This window comes from Homo sapiens, chromosome 3 (genome assembly GCF_000001405.40).
Source record: "Homo sapiens chromosome 3, GRCh38.p14 Primary Assembly".
Classification (NCBI taxonomy): domain Eukaryota; kingdom Metazoa; phylum Chordata; class Mammalia; order Primates; family Hominidae; genus Homo; species Homo sapiens.
Genome location: NC_000003.12, coordinates 64,626,062 through 64,650,469, shown reverse-complemented (window position 1 = coordinate 64,650,469; position 24,408 = coordinate 64,626,062). Strand labels below are relative to the sequence as shown.

Genomic DNA, 24,408 nt, shown 5'->3' with positions numbered 1-24,408 from the left:
AGCTTCCTGCTAGGCTGCTCAAAGATCCAATTACATTATACAATGCCCCTGTGTCACAGATTTATTGCTCTTCTCGCTCAGAAGTATGAAAGGTTAAGTGATTGTCCCAGAGTCACTGGGTGTATATTTCTGCAACCACGGGGAAGAGGAGGCTTTATCAATCAGAACTCAACGGGTGTGAATTTTCCGGGAGAGGTGTTTGCTGAAAACGGAAAGAACCAGAGGGTTGCTGTTGTTCTTTTTAACCAGATGGTGTAAGGTGTTTTCTTTCTATGAGTCATTGATTCGCTCACGCATCCCTTCAGCAAACATTTACTAATCACCTGTTGTCATGGACAGGGCCCTGTGCTTTGATGAAAAAGACACTATCTTTGCCCTTAGAAAGCTTACAGTCTATTGGGAAAGATAGTCAAACATAAACAGATAATTGCTGTGAAGTGTGATCAACGTTGTAACAGGTGTATATTTCCTACTGGCTATGTTGTATTCATTGCATGTGGTTCTACAAAGTAAACAGCAAAAATGTAACTTCAGCATCTGGATTTAATCTTGGATGTAAAGAATAAAGCACATGTTAAAAAGTAACTGTCCTCTCTACCATTACAATGGTGGGGTGGCCTTTACTGTTACCTGGGGGAGACCTTGACAGCCACCGTTCTCACCATCTGTGTGTTTCTGTGTGTTTCCGTAGCACTGGTTATGGCGAGTGTTTGCTTAACGAACCTGAATCCAGACCCTACCCTTTGCCTGTCCAACTGCCAGGCATCCTTTACAACGTGAATAAACAATGTGAATTGATTTTTGGACCAGGTTCTCAGGTGTGCCCATATATGGTAAGTGTAGGAGGGCCACTTCTGCCCTCATCTACTGATTCTGCACTTCTTTTTATTCATAGTTTTCCATTGCATTCTAACTCGACTATAAACTACCCAAGGAAAAGCTGAGAGTAAAATTGCATATTAGTGATCATAATAATTATGAGGATGACACAACAGTACTGCTGCTCAGTGTTAAATAGTGCTTTACCTGCACTTTCTCATTTCATCCTCGTGACAGTCCAAAAGGAAGATGCCATCATCACTTTCATTTTACAAGTGAAAGTGAGGCTCAGAGGCAGCAAGGTTACGGAGTTGGGAATTACAGAGCTCAGCTTTTTTCTCTCCTTGTTGCCTTTAATGCCCTTCGACTTGTCCAGGTGACCTAAATTATAGGGACTCTTCTAGATTCAGAAGAGCTAATTCATGAGACAAACATGTTTCTGTGTTTTAGCTTGTCAAGGTAGCATCCTGTGACCACCTGGGGCTTGAAATCATTTCTGGTGGGGCCTCAGCTGGGGTGGCTGTGTGATAGTTTTGCTGCATGTGTTGTGGATGTTTGGGCCAGTGATAACATCTAGCAGTTATCCGGTTACAGATGAGCAGAGCTGTGTTTCTATGGGGTGGCCCATTCTGTCTCTTTGGGGTGGCGTATGTGTGTTTCTTTTGCTGGGAGTGTCTTCAGAGATTGCCTGGTGAATTGAGAAGTACAATAGTATTCCATGGAAATAATAACAAAATTTTGAGTAAACTTGATTCATGGCAATATTTGTTTTTGTGTTATTCATGATAGGAAAAATTAGGAGTCATTGAAATGCCAAGCAAAAGAAAGGTTAAACAAATTATAGGGTCTCCCTTTTATAGCAATTGAAAATGATCTACATCTGGGAACATGCTCCTGCTATAATTTTAAGTTAAGATAACAAGATAAACAATTTTATGAAGTATGATCTCAACTCTAAAAGGGGAGAAAAAGCTACAGAAAAGACTGGGTAGTTTGAAACTTTTTCTATTTAAAAAAATAAACTTTTAATACTTGTGCAACTTTTCTACTATAAGTGTGGTTTATTTTAATAATTAGGAAAGATAAAAAATCTTTTAAAATTGTGCCCTGAAATAGAGCTAAATATAGCAAATGGAATAGATCTAAAAAACAGAGTGTTTAGAGGAGGAAGAAAGCAAGTTGTAGGATATGTCAGTATGGTGCAGTTGTAAAGCTTAAATGCTGTCTATTACTGGAGATTTATATGCATTTGTAGTAAAAGTGTTGGAAATGATGAAGTGATGAACACTACTCAGGACTGTGGTCACTTCTGGTAGGAAAAGGAAGGGAAAGGAACCTAGGATGAGTACATAGGGCCTTCAGCTGTGTCTGTGAAGTTTTCTTTCCTTAGCTTGGTGGTGGGTACATGGGTATCCATTACCAGGGATAGAAATGTGTTTTATGGGCTGCTGTCTATATTTTAGCATTTATCATACCAAGAAAAGAATTTCCTTCCCCACTTACCCTATGTCATTGGTGAAACATTAGTTGAAAGCAAGCTTTGCTTTGTTTGATACTGCCAAATAAATCACTTGTCACTCAATTGCCATTTCATTGAATTGAGCAGATGCAGTGCAGACGGCTCTGGTGCAATAACGTCAATGGAGTACACAAAGGCTGCCGGACTCAGCACACACCCTGGGCCGATGGGACGGAGTGCGAGCCTGGAAAGGCAAGTAATGCCCTGTTCTGTCCTTCTGTCTTAGGGCAGAAATGTGCAAGATTTTGGGTGTATGATCAGACACCGATGTTTAGAATATAAGACAATGCAGTCTGTTTTAGCTTGCATAATATTTTTTAGAGGACAGATGTTTAGAAGTTAGACAATTAAAAATTGTGAAACTTAGATTATAGCATAATGCTGATACCAGAGAATATACCTATCATTATTGCTTCAATATTAAGACATTCTGTCAACTTAAGACTTTCTCTCATTTAAACATTTCTAAAATTACAGTGTGCCTATGGGAACATTTAATGCGAGATTGTGTTTCTTTTTCTTCTCTTTTGGGGATGGCACTGGAAAGCTATTGGTAAGTTGATGGAACAGTTTAGAATCAAGGAAATGTAGAAATATAGTACATCTATTGCAGGTACTACTATGATACCAGGCTTTTGCCAACCGGTGTTGTTCCCTTTAAGGAGCTATAATGTCATTCAGGATATATCCAAATCCAAGTTCTCGTGAGCTGGTTATAATTGTTCCTACTGATTTGTTAATAGATAAACAAAATCTGCTACTTTTGTGGCCCAATGGTAACAGTGTCTCATGCACCTAGGAGTATGATTAACTTAACCTTCTGTACCTAGTGTGCATCTAGAAAAATTGGTGACATGTTAGTGATACCATCATCAGCCCAAAAATTTGGTAACAAAAAGTTTTAGATATAAATCTTGATTTAAAAAAAAAATACACATGGAAATTGGCATTCTATCTGTAACTTACCAAGGATACAATCTCTGAATGATATTTCTGAGTGTTTTGTTATCCTTATATATATTTTTCCCTTTTTTCCCTCCTCTTTCCATTGTCCACTTTACTTACTTTTAATAATTTATTCTCATCTCATTTCCTTTTCCTCCGCTTTACCTTATAGAATTGGTAGCACCCAGAATGTTTCTGTGGAAGAAGTCCTAAGAGATGATGGAACTTAATTCCCTGTTCCCTGATCTTATAGACAAGAAACTTCTCAGTTTCTTGTCTCACAATGAGTAACTTGTCCACAGTCACTCAGATCATTTGGTGCAGCCCCTCCCCACCCTCATTTCCTCTACTGCTTTGTCTGAAGGGGCAGCAGGGCCTACTGGAGTGGCCCTAACTGAAGCTCACTGAGCTCCTATAGTTTCTGCTGGTCAAAGAGGAAGACTAGTGGTTTTTTCAGTGTTAAAGGATCCTGAGGATATGAAAGTTTAAAAATATAAAGTCCAATGCGAAAATAAAAACTTATAATGAAGATACTTTTGTATTTGACTTAAATTGGCAACAGAGTCAGCTCATGTTCTCATTTCTCTATGGCTGGGACCTCATCAACTGAGAATACAGCTTTCCTCAATAGCAACCTAACACAAAGTTTATACGGATACAAGCGTAATAGCTTCTAGAGCTTTCATTGGTTTAAAGGGAAATATATCTCTTTGGCCAAAGAGTGAATCTTTGCAAGACATGTTGAATCTTTGCAAGACATGTAACTTAGTGGATTGGTGGCCACAAAATCATATTTTGGTCAAAGAATCCATGGCAGCCATTAAAAATTGAATATGACACTCATTCTTACAAAATCAAGATGTGGCCTCAGAGTCCTTCTAAACACAAAGACCCAAACAACTGCTACCAGTTGGTAGGAGATGACAATAAACATGATACCTATTTGACAACTTGGTTAGTTGGCTTGGGTTAGAACCAGCCCATTATATTACTTAAATTGAATCTGTTTGATCTCAGTGAAATCACTGGTATTTAGTTGTGGTTCTTAACCTGATGGATCCACCCACTATGTCTATTTCTGACACATGTTATTGCTGCAAAAGAAACACAACAACGAAAAATTTTCAATCATGTGATGAAATGACTTGCATTTAGTAAAACTGTCATGAACGTGCTGTCAAGCTCCAGATAGCAGTATGGTTACCCAACCAATTCTGGAATGCAGAATAACTTGGAGGATGTCAATTATGTCTTTTCCCAATCTTCTGTTTTTGCAGAAGAGGAGGGATCGTAGGGTAATTTTCTATCTTCTGAGGGATGGGGAGCTTCGGGAGAGCTTTCAGCAGACCCTGCTCCTGCTAAACACAAGCAAGTGGGTGTGCTTGTAGCAAGAGCAGGAGCCTTCAAGGCATTCCCAAGGCAGGCTCAGGATGCTTTTGGAGAAGAACTGTGCAGAGAAAATGATAGATCCATTTTTAGTTGTTTTAGAAAAGTGGCCATGTCTAGCAGCTTTTATTAAAGATGTGGATATATATAAATATCCTGAAGAGTATTTACACATTCTAGAAATGCCAAAGAAGGTGAATATATTGGCATAGAAATTCTCTGAGTGTTTTGCTTTGTTTCTTTTTCATAGAGTTGCCAGTATGTGCCTTTTCTCTATATGCTAGCACATTCTGCCTCCCTTGGCTGCTGGGTTAATGTTTTTTCTTTCTTTTTCTTCTTTCTGTTCTGCTCCTGCAGCAGTAATCTGTCTTGGGCTGCTGACACAATGTTATTTTGATGAATGACTCACTAATGTCTCTTTATTTTCTCCACTCTCTTAAGTCCATTAGCATTTTCCTTTTAAACTTATTTGTGAGTCTGAGGTTTGAAACTCTTTTGTTTCAAGTTTCATTTGGACAAAATCAACCTCCAAGTCCCCATTCCAACCTCTTAAAAAGATACATTTCTATAAAATATTATTTAAATGGTTTTGGACATTTTAAATAAAGGCTGACTTTATTTTGGCTCTTATTTCACCAGCCACTTAATGTTTTGTTATAATGTAATAGTAATTTTGCTATGTGATTATTATTTGTAGAATTTGCCTGGTAAAATAGATTATCTTGGTGCATGTTTCCCAAACAGACCCCCTTCCCAGCATCTGTCATATCAGACACTTTTCATATTCCTCTGAAGTTCTTCCTTTCTTTTGGACACCTGTCAATGGTCATATTACTGAGAAATATTTAATTTCCATATCAGTTTTGAATTAGAAGTTTTCTTTTAAAAAGCAACTATGAGGACATTTGAGTGCAGTGCTAGATGGTAGCGCTCTGATAAACCTACCCCCTTGTTTTGTTCCAATGTTTATAGTAATGCTTAATGAGAAGAGTGGTCATTTGGAATTTGCTCTTGTGTGGAAGTAAAATCTATAGAATAAAGAGATCCAGAAACTGAAGTCTGAAGTGTTAAGAGGGAAAAAATGTATTTCCAGAAAACTCCTTAATTTTGTCCTCAAGGTACAAAATGGCTGTGGTTGCTCCAGCCATGGAGTCTGACTTCCCCGCAGAATGAAGCCAAAGAGTTCAAAGGGCCTCTTCAGGAATCCTACCCAGTGAATTCTGCTTACATCTCTCTGACCACCTCTATCCGTAGGGAAACTTTGGAAAATATAGGTTCTATTGCCAAGATAAAGGGGAGGATGGATATTGAGTGAATAATCTGGAGTCTCAGTCTTACCTAGCCATCTCATTAATCTTACTTTTGGTGAAAACTTCAGTCCTTATTTAGATGTCGGAAATTGTCCCCTTTGCTCACAGTTAAGAGGCAGCATGTGTCCCAGTTAAGAGTATGCACTGTTAAGTCTTGTCTATATTTCAGTACCATTCCTGCCTCTTTGTGATGTTTGGCATCAACTCCTCTGTCCCTTCATTTTCTTTTCGTAAAAATGGAAGTAATAATAGTACCTACTTCGTAGTGTGTTGTGAGGACTAAGTTTGTATATATAATGCTTAGAACAGTGCCTGACAAATATTAAGTGCAGTGTACATGTTTGCCATTATCATTGCCACTGTTATTTAAGTGGGGTCCCCCATGTGCTAAGTTGTATACTAAGTATGTTACATACTTTGTCCCATGTTATACTCCAAATAATTTTGGCCAGTAGGTCCCCATTTTTTGATTGTGGAAACAGACTTTAAGGACTCACCCAAGGCCACAGAGTTATTTTGTAAAAGAGTTACCAGTCCCAGTGAGACCTGTTGTATTTTGTTAAGTTTTGTCTGTCTAGACCTGCTGTGTCCAATATGGTGGCCACCAGCCACGTGTGGCTATGTTAAAATGTCGACATGAACTGAGATGTGCTTAGGTATAAAATACATCCCAGGATTTGAAGACTTAGTATGAAAAAAAAAAAGCATTAAAAAATCTAATTAGTAGGCCAGGTGTGTTGGCTCATGCCTGTAATCCCAGCAGTTTGGGAGGCCAAGGAGGGCAGATTGCTTGAGTCTAGGAGTTTGAGATTAGCCTGGGCAACATACTAAGACCCCCACCCCTAACTGTCTCTATAAAAGATAAAAAAATTTAGCTGAGCATGGTGGCATACACCTGTGGTCCCAGCTACTTGGGAGGCTGAGGTGGGAGGATCAGTTGAGCCTGGGACGTTGAGGCTGCAGTGAGCCATGATTGCACCACTGCACTCCAGCCTGGGTGAGAGAGGAAGACTCTGTCTCAAAAAAAAAAAAAAAAAAAAAAAAATTATTGAGTAATGTTATGTTGACTACATGTAGAAATAACAATGTGTTAGATAGATTGGGCTAAATATATTAAAATTAATTTAAGTTTTTTATTAGTTTTTTATGTGACTTTAGAAATTCTTAAATTATATATGTGGTTCATGTTCTGTGTCTACTGGACAGAGGTACTCTAGACAAAGCCGTCCATCTGTTCATTTATTTTTATATGTATATTTTCTAAGAAATGTTCACAACCACTGTAAAGACAAATATGAAGTGATTTCCAGAGAGCGACGTAGTCCCCACTGCCTCAGTGCGCATTTCATGGGTCCTGAGTCACCCAGGGTTCAGATGCAGAACATCTTAAGCCTCAGCCAAACAGCCCAGGGAAAGGGACGTGCCCTCAGATACTGTAAGAGGATAATTACAAGGGAGGAGGCCAGGCAGACTGGAGAAAGCTTAATTGCACTGTTTAAATAATTGTTTACCAAGCCTTGTGTGGGGGTGGGGCCTGCTATTCCCACTGAGACCTTCACCTACCTCTTCTTTTTCCACCTTCCCTGCATACTGCCCCACCCCCTGGCCTTCAGACCTCTCTGCCTCTCCCCTCTTGGTGGCTGTGTCCTCCCTGGGGATAAATCACGACAGTCGCCACCAGCTCCGCTTCAGAGATCTGAGCGAGCCGCGGGGCGTCACCCTCCTGTGGCCACTGCCGCCACTTTTCCTTTGTCCACTGCTCAGTGACCTCGGCTTTGTGTCAGGGCTTCACACCCCAACAATGGCAGAGGGTCGGAATGGCTTCTCTCCTCCCTTGTCCTGCTGAGGAGTTTTATTTTGTTTTATTATTATTTTTTAAACGTCATGGCCTTCTTCCTGCTCCAGGCTGGAGAATCTGAAACCGCTAGTAACAAACAAGTCATAAAGTTTAGGGCTCTCTGTAGTGTGTCCGTTTTGCTTTCGTCTCATCCTGACGCTTTCCTGGAGTGTGTTTATAAGAATCATGTAACTCGCTTTTTTTTTCCCCCCTCTCCAATATAATTAAAATTGGGAGCAATAAAGCATTATAGTTTACCAGACTTGTAACTTCTCTAGGCCTTGTTGATGGAAATTCACTATGCAAATCTTATAACTCATTTTGGCCCTGTCTATAACCACCCTTCCCATTTCCACTCCTGGTTTTTCCAAGTAAACTAATTGAGTGGTTTGAAGCTTGCCATTGGAGTTACCCTGTCAGCCTGGAGCCAGTCACTGGCCAGTTTTATTCAAGCAAGCTGTAAAGGAAGACCCAGCCTAAAATCACTAAGTGTGAGATTAAAATCCCTATAGCTTCCATTATTCATATAGATGATGAACCTGCAGCATTTCAAACCCACACATGGAAAAGAATTACAGTATGGTGTGTTTAAAAGGACAGCCAGTCCTGTAACAACTCACAGCGCCAAGTCTCCCTCACTATTCCCCTTATTAAATACAGCACTGCAAGTATGGATTTTGTGTTCCCAAAGAAATGGATGTCCCCGTGACAGATGGATCCTGGGGAAGTTGGAGTCCCTTTGGAACCTGCTCCAGAACATGTGGAGGGGGCATCAAAACAGCCATTCGAGAGTGCAACAGACCAGAGTAAGTCCTAGAATGTATAACTGTTATTACTGCCGTGGCAGGAACATGAAATTCCTAAAGGGAATAATTTGGTGGGTGAAGAGTACATTCCAACTTAGAGAGCTAGAAAGAACGTAAACTTCAAGGGCTGCTTAGACCCACGGTACCCAAAGTCTATTCCCAGGCACTTCCCCCTGTATTATTGTTTACTCTCAAGATCCTTTGTTATTCAAAGTTTTATCTACCAAACAGGTGATGGTTTTGTGGTCGGTCTGTTTCCTAGTGTTGACAATCAGGCAGGTCTCACTCTCCCTGCTACACTCAGAGCTTAACAATGAGAACCCACGGACACAGGAAGGGGAACATCACACTCTGGGGACTGTTGTGGGGTGGGGGGCGGGGGGAGGGATAGCATTAGGAGATATACCTAATGCTAAATGACGAGTTAATGGGTGCAGCACACCAGCATGGCACATGTATACATATGTAACTAACCTGCACATTGTGCACGTGTACCCTAAAACTTAAAGTATAGTAATAATAAAAAATAAAAATAAAAAAACAACAAAAAAGCAAAAACAAAACAAAACAAAACAAAAAAAAAGCAGGCAAAAAAAAAAAAGATAGCACACTAATGGAGTGACTAGATAGATTTTCACATGGAAACAAAAAAATTGGACATTTTCATCCAGTTTGTAGACTAATATATTCCTTCTAGTTAGACCTCAAGGGACCTGGGACCCCAAATCAAGAATTACTTTTTATTTTTTTTCTTTTTTTCCCACCAATAATGTGTTCTGTGATAAGGAATTACTTTTTTAATCAATCTAGTTGTATTACAGGTGAGACAGCTGAGGTCCCCATCCCACAACCTGACATTTTACAGATTGGGAGTCTCTTGCCTTTCAGAATAATTCTCATTGTGTGACCATGGCAACCTCTACCAGCCTAACCTTGTTAGGACTGACATGTTTAAATAAAGTCCATGGACTTTTTTCCCAGCATTTGTCATAGCAGACATGGGCGGGGTGGAGGGTGGGGGAAGGTTGTTTATAGATAATAAATTGCTATCTTCATTATAAAAAATGACATCCAATTTTACATGGATCTAAGACATACATAGTTGAAAAGGAATAGAAAATAATAGGTAAGTAAAAGTAAGTAATAGTTTGTATGGCACTTCCTCAGACTTGCCATGGAACCTATTTAGGCTGGGAACCAAGAAGTCTATAGGAACAATTTTTTGATGTAAAAACCAACAACCATTTTTAAGACCCCAGCTGCTTTGGGATTTTGTAAAATGATTTCCCCTAGCAGTCTCATTTATTTTTAATAGCTTAGATCACGGATAGCAAACTCTATTGTACTGAGAAGCAAACAGGTGAAGTAAAGGAACTAAGTAGGCTGGGGTAATACAATAGTTGTATTGTAGAGACCAAGTGCAGGGCACTACTCAGGTCTGGCTGATTGTTCGGCAGTGAGAAAAGAGTCTAATATTGGCAAAGCTTCCGAATCTTTTCTATGAAAAATCTGAATTGTGTGAATCAAAAAGAATATAGCTGTAGGCAACTGGTTTGCAAGCCCTGGTCTCAGTACTCTGTACTACAAATCACAGATGATGATTAATTAAGTTATTTTTGTTCATAACCCAACCTTATTTCATGTCCATGTAGTGGTCAATAAGGAAGATAACTAAAGGGCTGTGAGATACAGACTCTGTTCCATAAAACTAACACTGTAGCTATGGATAAAAATGAATAAGCCTTAGATTTTCTATATAGCCTATATTTTGAATTAGTTTTTTAAATATTAGTATAAATATAGATCATGCTTCAAAAAATTCAGACACAAACATATAGAATATTTTAGAAGTTGTCACACTATTCCTACTTCCTGCCTACTCCCCATGAGAAATAATCACTGAAAAGTAATTCAGTGTGTGTCATTTCAGACTTTTCAGATTGTGGATGTAAATACATATTATATGAAATAAGTACCACATAATATAAAATAAGTATCATATAATATAAAAGAAGGCTGGTACTGCTTTTTAAACTCAGCTATGCATCCTTGTTGCTTGTATTGTTGAAGCTTTAAAAGAAAACCTTGTATCGTAACAACTAATATGATGAATTTTTTACATATTAAAAACTATTTGGTGGCTACATTGAGCAAAGTTATTAGTTTATAGTAAATGCTATCATGAGGGTATGGATATTGCAAACAGTGACCACTTTATAAGCACTTTAAACATTTTTGACTCAAGGATATTCCATTCAAAAGAAGTGTTTGGCCTTTTTTAAAATAATACTTTGTTAAGTCTTGAGCAATTCTAGAAGTAATGTGAAAAGTGGAGAGAGATAAATCACTCCGTAATTGGAATGGGCTAGACAAAGAAAATCACCCAGTGTAAAGATCTCAGCAGAAAAGGATCTTGAGCTTCAAAGTGCAACAAAGATCCTCACATTCAGAAGTTAAGAACCGATCATTAAAGACCTCAATTAGAGGTCCTTGTCCCTGCTGTTTGCTATGGGAGGTTTTTTTTTTTTTTTTTTTAAAAAAAAAAAAAAAAAAACAATCCACCTAGTTGAGTGTCAGCACTGACATCATTTCATTAAAACTCCTCCAAGTTATTTGCACTTTAGGATGTCCCTGTTAATTGAGGAAGGAGACTGCCTCTGAATACGGAGGTTACAATGGCTCTGGGGGAGTCAATTTGAAAAGAGAAAGGAACACAGAAAAGGGAAAATCAGATCCAAATCTCAGTTTAAAAGCTTGTTCAGAGAAATTCACAGAGCAGATGGTTCATTATGTAGAACGTAGAAGTGGTTGCTGTCATGCTTCTCAAGGAGTTTGAGGGGAACAGCTGCCCCCCTCACTGGGAATATGCCTTTTGTCAGTTCGACGAGCCCTTACAATATAATGGAGAGCTCTGTTTTTAGAATCCAAGGTACAAGGTATGTCTCTATTAAGGACACTGGATTTTTTTTTTCTTTTTTCACAATATTTATCTGATTCAAGAGTGTATTTATTTAGCATCCAGAGACTTTATAGTATATTCTTAAGAGTTTTTTTCCCCCTGAAAGCGTAAAAGCCAAAAAAGATAAGTAGCCTTGCCGTGTACATGAGATTATGCTCTACTCCATGAACAAGCTGTAGAGACCATACGCTTTCTAATTTTGGTCACAAGATATTTTGGTCTCAACTGGTATATATGGTGTTACAGGTGGGGCCCTCATATTTTGTCTTTAAGTGCTTTATTTTTTTAATCTCAATTTTGATCCATGCCCTACAGATAAGATGATCATAGTTCTGGTTTACAAGGACAGTCCCTTGTTCTATCTGTTGCCCTGAAGGAATTATTAATAGCTCCCATTTTCACTCTCAGAACGTTCTTGATTGGGCAATTAATTACACGGTCACCCAGCCTATAAGACGTGTGTAATAGAGTAAAATTTAAAATCAGAACCTCCAAAACATAGCTTAACAGTACCAAAACCAGACTGAGCTTTGGAACTAGAAGATGTATTTTCAGGCTTTTGGGCCCTATACTTGTTTTGTGCTCAAAATTTGGCTCAGAGCTTCCTTGTGGCTGAAACAAAATGGTACGTAGAATTGTTACAGTCCATCAAAAACAAAAATCGTGTCAGTTCCTTAGGAAAGACACAGCATTTTCTTTTTCCAGTGCTTCTATTTTACTTTTAAATTAGGAGATAGGTTAAAATTTAAAAATAATAAACTCATAGATTTGAGGGTTAAAAGGATTATGAACTAGATATTTCCCCCTTAGGCTCTCTCCATAGCAACTGGTTATGAAATCTTACTTTAAAAACATATTTAAGACATATGTCTATTTCATCCAAAAAAATGAATTTCTCATTTGGCTGTAAGGAATTACAGCAAGGCTTTTTCTGAGGCACTCAGTTTGGATGAAGTTGTTTCGAAATGTTGAGAATTGGTTACTGTGGAAGAGCCATTAACTAATGAATAAGTAAAAGAATCCAGTTTCATAGACTGCCCCATTTGGAAAGATCATTAAAGATGGGCTGGTACAGCTCCCACCCCATCCCATCTAATCTTTGAATAGCCTTTCAGCATTCTTCATAATTGGCCATCAGGCCCCTTCTTAAAAACCTCCAGGCACAGGAATTACACTACCTTCTGGGGCTGCCTGTTGTATCTTTAGAAATGTCTTGTGCCAACCCTAAATCTGACTACCCTAATTCATCGTACCTAAACGTAGAAGTTGATTTCTGTTCAAACCCTTTTGCAGACCAAAGTTTAGCTTTCCTTGAGGATAGACTGTACCTGTGATGACCTCTGCAAAAATTTCTTTATAGCTTTGGTCATGCATCATCTTGAATTTCCTTTCTATGTATTAACAGGCATGGCTGTGTAATATGTGCTTGAAAGAAAGATCCAATTTGGCTGTGCAGAATAGTAATTACTCTAGCAATTTCCTTAAACCCTCCCTATCCCTATTTGACATGCAATATTTTAAAAGGATCTTAATAGTTGGGAAGTGTGGCTACTATTTTTTAAAGCTATGTTTCCTATTATTTTCAATATTTGCCTACTAGAAAAAATACTCCTATTCAGCTAAATAATTAAATTATAAAATGATTTTTTTCCATGCTGAAAGATGAGTTTGGTTGGCTGAAGCTTTCTCTATTACATAGTCCATGTAAATCAGGCAGCAATCTGGGAGAGAGGAAACATATGTAGTTCAGAAGGCCAATTTATATTTGTTAAAGTCATGTCAATAATTAAGGAAGAAATTGTAACCTGCCTTTACATAAAAGCAAATCAACTTGCAGACCAACTTTTGATATGGAAAGAGGCCTGTCTCAAGGGAGACAGCCTGGAAGAGAGGCCAGGTCTTGAGCTTCTGGTCAGGGAGAGTTGGGTTGGGCTCCCCTCTCAGCAAAGTCAGTGACAGAATTTGGAACGTAGGACAGTGACACAAGAATAGTCCAGGGATCAGGAAACCTTTTCCATCAGGGCCAAATAGTAAATACTTTAGGCTTTGAGGTTTATGTGGTCTCCATCACAATTACTCAACCTTACTGATATACGAAGAAACAAACAGACAATGTGGGTGTGGCTGTGTTCCAATAAATCTTTATTTATGGACACTGAAATTTGAATTTCCCATAGTTCACATGTGTCCCAAAATCTTCTTCTTTGTAAAAATTTTTTTCAATTACTTTAAAATTTAAAACTTATTCTTAGCTCACAAACCATGCAAAAATCAATGGCGGGCTGGGTTTGGCCCACAGGATGGTAGTTTGCCAAATCTTGTAATAGCTAAACTTTTATTAATCACTTACTGTGAGCCACACTTTGTGCAAGTGCTTTGAATGTATTAATCTAGTTAACCCTCACTACAGCTTTATGAAATAGATATTAGTATCATCTCCCTTTTACAGATAAGCAAACGGAGGCTTGGCAAGATTAAGCAACTCGCCTAATATTGCATCATTATTAAGAGGCATAGCTGGGATTCAAACCCTCTGTTTCCAGAGTCCATGTTTCTAACCATAAGGAGTATTGCCTCTCACATACAGTATTTTTTGTGTGTTTATAAAAAATGTTTTTTATAAAAATAAATCCCAAAATACTACTTGCCATGTTATAGTGGTCAAAGCAAGCAAAGGTGGAAACTGTTACCATCTGAAGGGAAGCCACCTATAAATAATAACTATTTGCAGTCCGAAGAACTGCTGCATTTGATAAATTTCAAGAATCAGCTAAGACGTGTCATATAAGAGAACAAAAAAAATCAATTTAAAAAACTTTATGTTCAAAGGGAAAGAAGTATGAGTTACTTTCAGGCAATAAATAAATGATTGATCCACCATAGTCAGCTGGGACATCTAAAAAGATTCCAGAAAGATAATTTCAACTGGAGGAAAAATTGAAGGGGGTCTTCCTTGTAGCACATTTGAAACAAGTTTTACCTGAGCAGGTATACAGTCCTGATCTATTATTCATGGGTCATCTGTGATATTTTATGCATGAGACTGGGGTGCCTTGGTACTGAGAAAAGGGCTTGGATCTAGGAAACCCATTCTGCATCTCTAAATGGCACCAAAAAAGAAAAGAAAAAAAAAGACTCTGAAACACAGCATATGGATAATGTAGCAGACGTGCACAGAGAAGAGTCTGGGAGACTTGGATTCCAGTCCTGACTCTGCTCCTTTGTTAGCTGTGTGACCTTTGGGCAAAGTACTTCTCTAAACGTCCTGTCACTTGGTATAAAAGCACCTCATCTTCCCTAGCCTTGGACAAGATATGAAGGAGATTTCCCAGTTTGAATGAATAGTGCAGATATACAGTATATGGGCTTAATTGTGCTTAATGCAGAAACAGACAGACGTAGACACGACTGTGTTATGTGCCATTTTACATCCCTAGATGCAGTCTTCCTTATGATAAATAATGGTGAATGTTGATCAGACTTCTTGCTAAGTTCCTCAGAGTCACAACAAGCCTTTTAAGTACACAGCATCGTCTCTGTTTTACATGTGAAGATAGAGCCCAGGAAGGTGAGACAGCTTACACAAAGTCACCCTCCCCAGCTTGTAACTGCAAAGCTGGTGCTCTTACTTCATGTTGCAAATCTTTGATCGAGCAAGTACGTTTATAACAGTATCAGGACAAGCTTCTCTAGGAGGGCCTTTGTGGGACCTGGGCACGCTGCAGGAGCACTGAGTCCTGCCTCGGTGCTCAGAGTGGGTGCTCAAGCCAACTGCAGAATTGGATCAGATTAGATTGGGCAGTGTTGACATGAAGTATCATAGTAGGTAACATTTTATGGCATCTACTATGTGCACTTATTGTAAAGAAGGGGAAAAATTGAAGCTCAGGAAGACTGAGAACTTAGTCTAGGGCCACACAGTGAGGATAGGGCCAGATTGGAACCAAGATCCAACTCTAGAGCTCTTTCTACCTCTCATTCTATATTTCGTGAGCAGGGATATATTTCTCATTCCCCAAAACTCCTGTTTGAAACAAAGCAGCCAAAAACCCATTTTTTATAGTCCAGATTACTCTGAAAGATTCATTCTAAAGGAAAAAGGGTGAAAAATGTCCTTTCAGTTGCAGGGTTGTCCTAGGGCAGTTGTGAAACCCGAGCTGTTTCAGCCCTGGGTGAGTGAGCCCCAACGTCCTACGATTCTGTGATCTTCCTGTTTCCATGATGAATTTGGCATGCTGCTGACTGCTGGTAGATGTGTTGTATAATTTACTCTCTGGATCACATCTGGAATATACATGCACAGGGTTGCATGCGGAGATTAAATTTGCACTGTGATGCTTTGCAAGGCGTATGCCATACACTCGTCACACAAAAGCTAATGAAACCAGTATGCTCTTTCCTGCTTCTCCTCTTAAGTTAGTCAAAATATGAACACATTCCCATTATTCCATTTTATTTGTGAAACAAAAAAGCAAAAACAATGGTTGTCTGGAGAGAGGGAGTAGAGGGACAGAATGAATGGAGGTGTGAGGGAACAAGTTTATGATGGTCTCCTGTGAATATGTCAAGGTACAAAAGGAAGATAGGGAGCATTCCAAACTACTCTTGGGTACCTTTCACCTTCTACATTTTAAACATTGAAGCACCATGAATGTTGGGAAGAAAAGGAACAAAAAGTGGCCTAATAGATTCAGATTCAGGCTTCGCATCTCATATTTTAAGCTATACATTCTAACATTTATTCTCACAACAGCCTACAAGATAGCTACATCCCATTTTGCAAATATAAGGGAAGATTGCGGAGGCCAAGTGACTTACCCAAGGTTATACACATCATGGTATTGAAGGCAGGATGCAAAACCAGGGATCAGAGCTCTTGCCCATTCCTCTGTCATTTGCCACCCTAGATTTACTTCTCTAGAAGACAGGAAGTCATGAATGAAGGAGTGATGTTCAGAGGAATACATGATAATACAGTGTGTGTGCTCTTCACATTTTTTCTTTTTCAGACCAAAAAATGGTGGAAAATACTGTGTAGGACGTAGAATGAAATTTAAGTCCTGCAACACGGAGCCATGTCTCAAGCAGAAGCGAGACTTCCGAGATGAACAGTGTGCTCACTTTGACGGGAAGCATTTTAACATCAACGGTCTGCTTCCCAATGTGCGCTGGGTCCCTAAATACAGTGGAAGTAAGTGTGTCTGGTGTATCTGTTCACCGTTGGCCGGCCGGCACTGAGGCCAGGCACAAAAGTCAAGTTGTATTGTTTCTCCTCTCTAGTTCTGATGAAGGACCGGTGCAAGTTGTTCTGCAGAGTGGCAGGGAACACAGCCTACTATCAGCTTCGAGACAGAGTGATAGATGGAACTCCTTGTGGCCAGGACACAAATGATATCTGTGTCCAGGGCCTTTGCCGGGTAAGTCCTTGATGGTGTTTTCTTCACTGTGTTTTCCCGCTGCCAACCTGTGATTTGTGGCTTCCTAGATAGAATAGCAACTGCTAGTATCTGTGCACTGTTGCCAGGGCAGTGGTTCTCAAAGTGTGGCCCCGGGATCAGCAACAGCATCAATATCACTTTTTTCTGATGCGTGTAGTGCCAAAGTTTGGGAGCCGTTGCCCTGGATTTTTCTTGACATTTTCAGTCTCTGTGGGGGTCTTGCACAAAACCTCTCCTTAAAAATTTATTGTAACAATTTACACCCACACTCCTTTGCTATAAACTCAGTGCTTAAGCAAATGCTTCCCAAATGCTTCCTGACAGCAAATTTTTTAGATTGAATAGCTGAGGGTGAGAAATATGTCAGGAAGAAGAGCTGGCCTCACTCAAGTTTCTCTTTGCATTTTTAACCACGATCATTTTTACCTGAGACATTCCTGTTAATTAATTATTCTTGAAAGGGAAATTGAGAAACTTCTGGGAAACAGCAAAGCATCAGAGCAGTGATTTCTCAGGGGCTAGATACCATTTCAACGTTCTCGTTAGTCAAAAATTATTCCTAACCCGGTTGGGCTCTGAGATGATGCCTCTGGTTGTTTTTTTTGTTTGTTTTTTTTTTTTTGCCTGTGGTCCAAAGGCATATTGGAGTTCCTGGTTGGAAGGATTTGATTGAAAGAGCCCCTAAGGGCATCACCCACTGACTAATAGCTTATACTGCAGATTTCCTTGTCTGTCCATTTCACAGCAACACATTGAGTTTTTCCTCAAAGATTAGTTCACACAAATGAACAAAACGGACAAGAATGTGGACTCTCTTCTTCTGGTCTTCTGGTCATTGTCAGTGTATGTTTCAGAGTTCAGTGTACATGGCTGCATTGTGTTAATATGAGGAGAAATTCAGCAGGCCACTCGATGGAGCCTCAGGCCTCAAAATGGAGGCCCATGGTCATACTTTGGCTGGCATTCATAGCCAATATTTAAACGTATGGGATTTTACATAAAGTCAATTTTTCCAGCTTCTTTGGAAAATTGGGAAAAAATGTCAACACAGGGCTCCCATTCCCTCATGGCAGCAATAGTCTGGAGTGGACAGCAGCTACTCCCTTAAGATGGGGCATGAGCTCTTTAATTAGATACAGTTCTTACCTATTCCCTTTTTTTTTCATTCCTAAGCAATTTTTTAAAAAATTACTGTGCTTACTTACAGACTAGTGCTTTTCAAACTTTTATCTGTAGATGAAGCACCTGAGGAATCCTATTAAAATGCCAACTCTGATCCAGTAGATCTGGGTGGGTCCTGAAATTCTGCATTCCTGACCACATCAAAGGTGCCCATGGCTGCTGGTCCAAGGACCACATTTTAAATAGCAAGGCAGTATATAATTTCAGTTTTCAACCTTTCCAAGTTTTAAAGGACTTGACTTTCTTGTCATTTTTAGTGCACACGATTAAAAGAAACACATTATTTGCCATTTTATAATCTCTATAATGCTTACATTTATTTCAAATCTTTTCTTTTTAAAAGCAAGCTGGATGCGATCATGTTTTAAACTCAAAAGCCCGGAGAGATAAATGTGGGGTTTGTGGTGGCGATAATTCTTCATGCAAAACAGTGGCAGGAACATTTAATACAGTACATTATGGTAAGAATCTGCTCCTAAGAACCATGAGAAGGAATATGGTCAAAGTTTGAAAATTGTTAACCACATGTAATATGCAAAAATATTAATGTCGAGCATAAAAATCAGTCTCGTTATGGTGGATTATCCATCGACTAGAAGGCACCTAATAGAATTATATGAGAATTATATTCTATTCCTTTGTTGTCCACTTTTTATTCCATACTTAGAGAAAGTGAACCATTCTGTGGAGTACTGAATTTCTGCTAAATTCTTTTCAGGTTACAATACTGTGGTCCGAATTCCAGCTGGTGCTACCAATATTGATGTGCGGCAGCACAGTTTCTCAGGGGAAACAGACGATGACAACTACTTAGGTGAGATGGGATGCCTCACTACTTGCGAGTTCTGGTTCTATGGAGCAGTGGCCAGATACTGCTTCCTTCCTTCTCTGGCATGCAGAGGCAGAGCTTTCAGATGTCATGGATTTTCATAAAATAAGTGGCTCTCAAAATTCACCATTGTATTTCTCCCTCATACATACGCCCTCAGAGTATTGATTGAAAAGTTGTGTAGCTGCACTATTTGATATCAAGGGATTTACTCTGGATCTTAAAAAATAGAAAGGCCCCAAGTCAAATTTTGAAAGTACTTATCCTCTAAGTTTAGCATAAAATCCTTGCTCTCATTGAGTCTTTTCAAAAAGCTGTCCTGTGGGGAACTGACTTGCAAATATTTTATTAGAAGCATTACTTGACTTAATTTTTATGTTATCAGCTCTAACCAGTAGCAGACCACTGGTAGACTTATTCAGTATTTCATTATGCCTGTTCGTTGCAAAAGTTTCTATGGTGACACGTATTTTTCTCAAGTCATTACTAGAATAGCAATACTATACAGATTTTTTATCCTCTTCTCACTGAACTGAGGTGCATGATTAATTCATATCTATTCCTTATATTTAAACCACAACATGCCGATGACCCTGTGTTGATTTTCAACAGTTTGCTCAGCCCAGTCCCATCTTATTTTATTATTTTTTTATTTTTTAACTTAAAGTTCTGGAGTACATGTTCAAGATGTGCGGGTTTGTTACATAGGTAAACGTGTGCCATGGTGATTTGCTGTACCTGTCAACCCCTCACCTAGGTATTAAGCCCAGCATGCATTAGCTATTTTTCCTGATGCTCTCCCTTGCCCACACATCCTGCATCCCACAAGCCCCATTGTGTGTTGTTCCCTTCCCTGTATTTTTGGGACAGGGTCTCACTCTGTCACCGAGGCTGGAGTGCAGTGGTGTGATCACAGCTCACTGCATCTTCAACCTCCCAGGCTCAAGTGATCCTCCCACCTCAGCCTGAGTAGCTGGGACTATAGGCACTCACCACTATGCACAGCTAGTTGTTTTTTATTTATTTTTATTTCTTATTTATAGAGATGATGTCTCACTATGTTGCCCAGGCTGGGCTTGAACTCCTGGCCTCAAGCGATCTTCCTGCCTTGGCCTCCCAAAGTGCTGAGATTCCAGGCATGAGCCACCATGCCCAGCCCAGTCTCACTGTAATTTGTTTTTCTGTAAATTGCTGTAAGTGATTGTGAAATTTGCCTAATTGCCATTTAAAAGAAAGAGGACATGGAGAGTAGAGTCATGACTGAAAGGGATTTAACTGATCACCTTACACAAAACTCTTCCCAGCCGCATGGCTTACACTCAGATCTAGAATAAATTAGAGCTGTCTTGCTGGGCAGTCAATCTTAAAAAGCAATAATGTACTTTCTTTATTGTAATATCCAGGCAGGAACTCTATTTATTCATCTGAATTCAACCTGTATAGAGGCCCTTAATCTAAGCATTTGGACATATTCAGCTGGTAAATGAGTATTTGTTGAACTGAATTAAAGTCTATATCTCTGTTTTGGAATGTCTACATGAAGCTGCATAGATAGACAGTGAGCCTTCAGCTAAGCATGCTAATCAAGTATGATATTTATACATGACTCCATTATGGCATTTGCTATCACTATTCATTCAGTCACTCACTCACTTATTTAATATGTGCCAGGCACTGTTCTAGGCACAATGAACAAAACAGATAAAAAAAAATTTGTGTCTTCTTGGACGTTACTTTTTAGTGGGACAATAAACAATAGGCAATAAACAGTAACCTGATAGATAAGAAAACTCCATAGTGTTATAGTGATAAGTGCTGCTAGAAATCAGAGCAGCCTAAGGCAAATCGGGATACCAAGGGTGAGATGTGGACAGTAGAGTTGAAATGTTTGAATCATAGAGCAAGATAATAAGCTATTTAGGGGAAGAGCATTCCAGGCAGAGGGAATAGCCATTGCAAAGTCCTTGAAGTAGGGAAGACGGAGGCAGTATGGCTGTTGCCAAGTGAGCACAGAGGACACTCCTAGGTAAGGTTAAACAAGACTAGGTCATACACGACCATATAACCATTTTAAGAACTTTGGCTTGGACTCAGAGACATCAGGAGCCACTGGAGGTTTTGAGCTGAGGAATGACGTCTTACTGCATTTATGTTTTTAAAGGAGCACTCTGGCTGGTACATTGAGAAGAGATGGTGGGGGAAGTGTGTACAGGACAGAAGCGGTGCCATTGATTAGGAAATCATTGCAGTAATCCAGGAGGGAGATGCTGGTGGCTTGGCCCCAATGGGAGCAGTGAAAGTGGCAGTATGTAGTTAGATTCTGGATATCTTTTGAAGTTGGAACCAATATGACTTGTTGATGGATTGAACATAGTGTGTGAGTTAAAGGTACAAAGGAGTTAAAAGTACACAAGACTAAAGGTACAAAGGAATCTCAAAACTCCAAGGTCAAAACCTGAGCAATGGGAAGGATGGAGTTGTCATCAACTGAGATGACAAGACTAGTTACATATTTATTATACGACCACTAGTGTTTTAAAGTTAGGGCAGGGTCTTTACATCTTCAGCTACTGATATGAAGCCTACATATGATTGGTACAAAGCAGATGATTGCTGAATTGTTGAACAGCCGTTGTCAATGCTGTCTTTAATGACTACCTACTGTGCACTTAATGGAGAATGGGGTTAGCTTGAAAATGTACATTCACCTCTTCTTTCAAGGGCCGTAAAGCCTTACTTGGAATTAATTACTCAATCACTACATCAGCTTTTCACTACCCCAAACATCCAAATGAGTGACAACTTTATAAGACAATTAACAAAGTTCTTGGAGGACTGTTTACAAATTATTTTGGGGGGGGAATCCATTTCTCCTTGCACAGCTGCAGAATGGGGCAAGTATTTTTCTTTGTACACTTGGTTATAAATTTGAGCATGTGGCTGCAGTGTCCTTACTACTTCCTAATTAAATGAAACAGCATTGCATGCAGCCTGCTTTATAAATTAATTTCCTGAGACCTGAAGGCCATGTTGAGTTGCTCCTTTCTTCTCTTCGAAAGAGAGAAGGATTCTCTGCTATTCTTCCCTTTCTTGGAAAAACAATCTCCCTCCAAGTAGTGGCCTCAATTCAAGTCAACTTAATCAATGCACATCAAGCACCTGAATTCAGGGAGGGCCTCCTGATAACCTTTTATTATTCAGTGGAGGTTTCTTAATCTCCTTGTAAAGAATGAAAACAAAATTAAGGAAGATTTGTCATCTGGCACAGGCAATCTGAGCCAGTTATGACACTTTAACGGAATAGAATGGGAAAGTCACCTGTTGGCATAAGGAAGTCTCTCTAGAAGCAAATGAAAAGTGTGCAAGCCTACATTGCAAGTCACAGTCCACTGAGTGTGAAAGTCGAGACCTCAGAGCCTTTGAACCTCACGGTGGTTACTCAACAAGTTAGGAAGAATTTGATGTTGTCATCAAGTCTGGCATATGTAAATATTTACTCTTGGCTTGATGGAAGATGCAGCACATGCACTGAGAAGGTTTTACAACCCACACTGAGTCTCGCGTTGAGTCCAGTCACAGCTGTTCCATTGCTAAGCAATATTCATCCTTATCCCTTATGTTTTTTTTCAGTGTCAGCCAAGCCATACTTTTCTGTGTATTCTAGGAGGGAGGAATTTCCAGGAGAGAGGGCCTTTTGTAGCAACCCAGCTCTGATGGGTGCAATGGGAGGGAAACCAACCCAGGAAATTAGCTCCCTTAATCGCATTAGTGGGAGGTTGGGCATTAGGCTCTTGTTTTCAGGAAACTATTTGTTTCACAAAGTACCAAAGCAGGAAGCCTTCCTGTCAAAGGTCATCCTTTCACATGGACCCCTTCCTCCTGTTGAGCTAAAGCCAAGTTGTACCCAGGGCCACCATGTTCGTATCTCTTTAGAAGAAAAAGTAGCCATTTCTGTGATACTTATTTGTCTCCAGTACACTTAGCTCTTGATTAATTGTGGCAATGGGAAGATGGGAATCGATGCAGTGCAAGATAAAATAGGATTTTTTTTTTTCATCTGATGATTTTAAGGATGTCTGGGGCCAAACCATTTATCACGGCAGATCGTAAGAGGAATCCGATATCATTTGTGCTCCTCTCTTTCTCCCTACTCACATCTACTGGAATAAAGAATATGCATGGAAGGGTGAAATGCCCTGAGTCAGCAAAGCATGAAAGGAAACCTGGAGACATTGGAAAAGACCCCCCAAATTAACCCAGAATAGACTATCACTCTTTGCATATGACCACACTGGATTATCACTTGATTTACAGAACCGGCATCTGACTTTTTATTTCCTCCTTTTTATCAAGACATCAGCTGGGTAGCTAGCATGCAACTTCATTTGAAAGAACTGGGTGATTTTGTTGACAGCACATCATACTGTCACCATTTGAATGACCCGCATTAGGGAGCAGCCTCAGGATGCCCAAGGTGCCACGGAAACAACCTTGGCTTCAGTGACCCATTGAAACTCCTGCCTCTTTCATGGCTGATGGGTCTCGCGCTGCAGGAGCTGCAGGCAAGACGAGGTTGTCAGAGGTTTACACTGACTGAGAAAGAGTCATTTGGCTGGAAGCACTCTATCCTCCTTGTCATGAGTGTCAGACTCCATCAATCACTTATTCTTTCAGCATCATCGATTGAGCACCTACTATGGGTTGGGATCTTTCTTGGGCTTATAAAAGTAAATTTGTATTTTATCATCTTATATATTTAAGGGGTAGGACTACAGGTTTCTTACGTGCATATATTGGGTAGTGGTGAAGTCTGAGCTTTTAGAGTACCCATTACCCAAATAATGAGCATTGTACCCAATAGGTAGTTTTTCAACCCTTATCCTCCTTTTATCCTCCCACCTTTGGTACTCTCCAATGTCTATTAGTCAAAAAAGTGGATTTTTAAATGGCTGCTTTGCTCAAGGGCTCATGCAGACTAACAAAATGAGCAATTTACATTTAAGAAAAATCTACAACACAAACATACTTAGTTTCTATTTGTATACAAGAGAACGAATGCATGAACTCATTTACTCATTTAACAAACGTTTGTTGACCCCCTTCTTGGAAAATTTTAGTAGTTTGTAGACTCTGGAAATGGATTTCCATGATTAGGAGCCACCTGGCCTTGGGAAATTAACTATTTTAAGTCATGCCTTTCTCATCCATAAATTAGGCTTCTATAATAGACACTACCTTATAGAAGTGTGATAAGGAGACAGTACATACAAAGGCATTTTGATCTGCCAGGAACTAAAGCTGATATGGATTCTTATTTAATCCATATAACAATCCTATAAGAAACTCATTATACAGAGGAAGAAACTGAGGCTTGGAGA

The 24,408-nt window shown here is 39.5% G+C and overlaps 1 protein-coding gene across 5 annotated transcripts in view, besides 1 other annotated feature; it reads left to right on the top strand.

Moving 5' to 3' along the window:
* ADAMTS9 (ADAM metallopeptidase with thrombospondin type 1 motif 9) overlaps nt 1-24,408 on the top strand; it is a 172,347-nt gene that overhangs the window by 37,531 nt on the left and 110,408 nt on the right. For all 5 annotated transcript variants that reach the window (XR_007095711.1, XR_245151.1, XR_007095712.1 and 2 more), the window contains 7 exons: nt 692-833; nt 2,426-2,530; nt 8,477-8,622; nt 16,591-16,772; nt 16,862-16,998; nt 18,545-18,662; nt 18,920-19,015. Coding sequence is in view for 2 of the 5 variants with exons in the window: in NM_001318781.2 (NP_001305710.1) it covers nt 692-833; nt 2,426-2,530; nt 8,477-8,622; nt 16,591-16,772; nt 16,862-16,998; nt 18,545-18,662; nt 18,920-19,015 (926 nt within the window). In the remaining 3 variants the exon portion in view is untranslated. The remainder of the gene's footprint in view (nt 1-691; nt 834-2,425; nt 2,531-8,476; nt 8,623-16,590; nt 16,773-16,861; nt 16,999-18,544; nt 18,663-18,919; nt 19,016-24,408) is intronic.
* Nucleotides 7,670-8,171: an enhancer, noted in NCBI's record as "H3K4me1 hESC enhancer chr3:64627975-64628476 (GRCh37/hg19 assembly coordinates)". NCBI's record gives its function as "activates a minimal SCP1, AML or CMV promoter by ChIP-STARR-seq in primed H9 embryonic stem cells {active_cell/tissue: H9 hESC(primed)}" and the evidence as "EXISTENCE:reporter gene assay evidence [ECO:0000049][PMID:30033119]".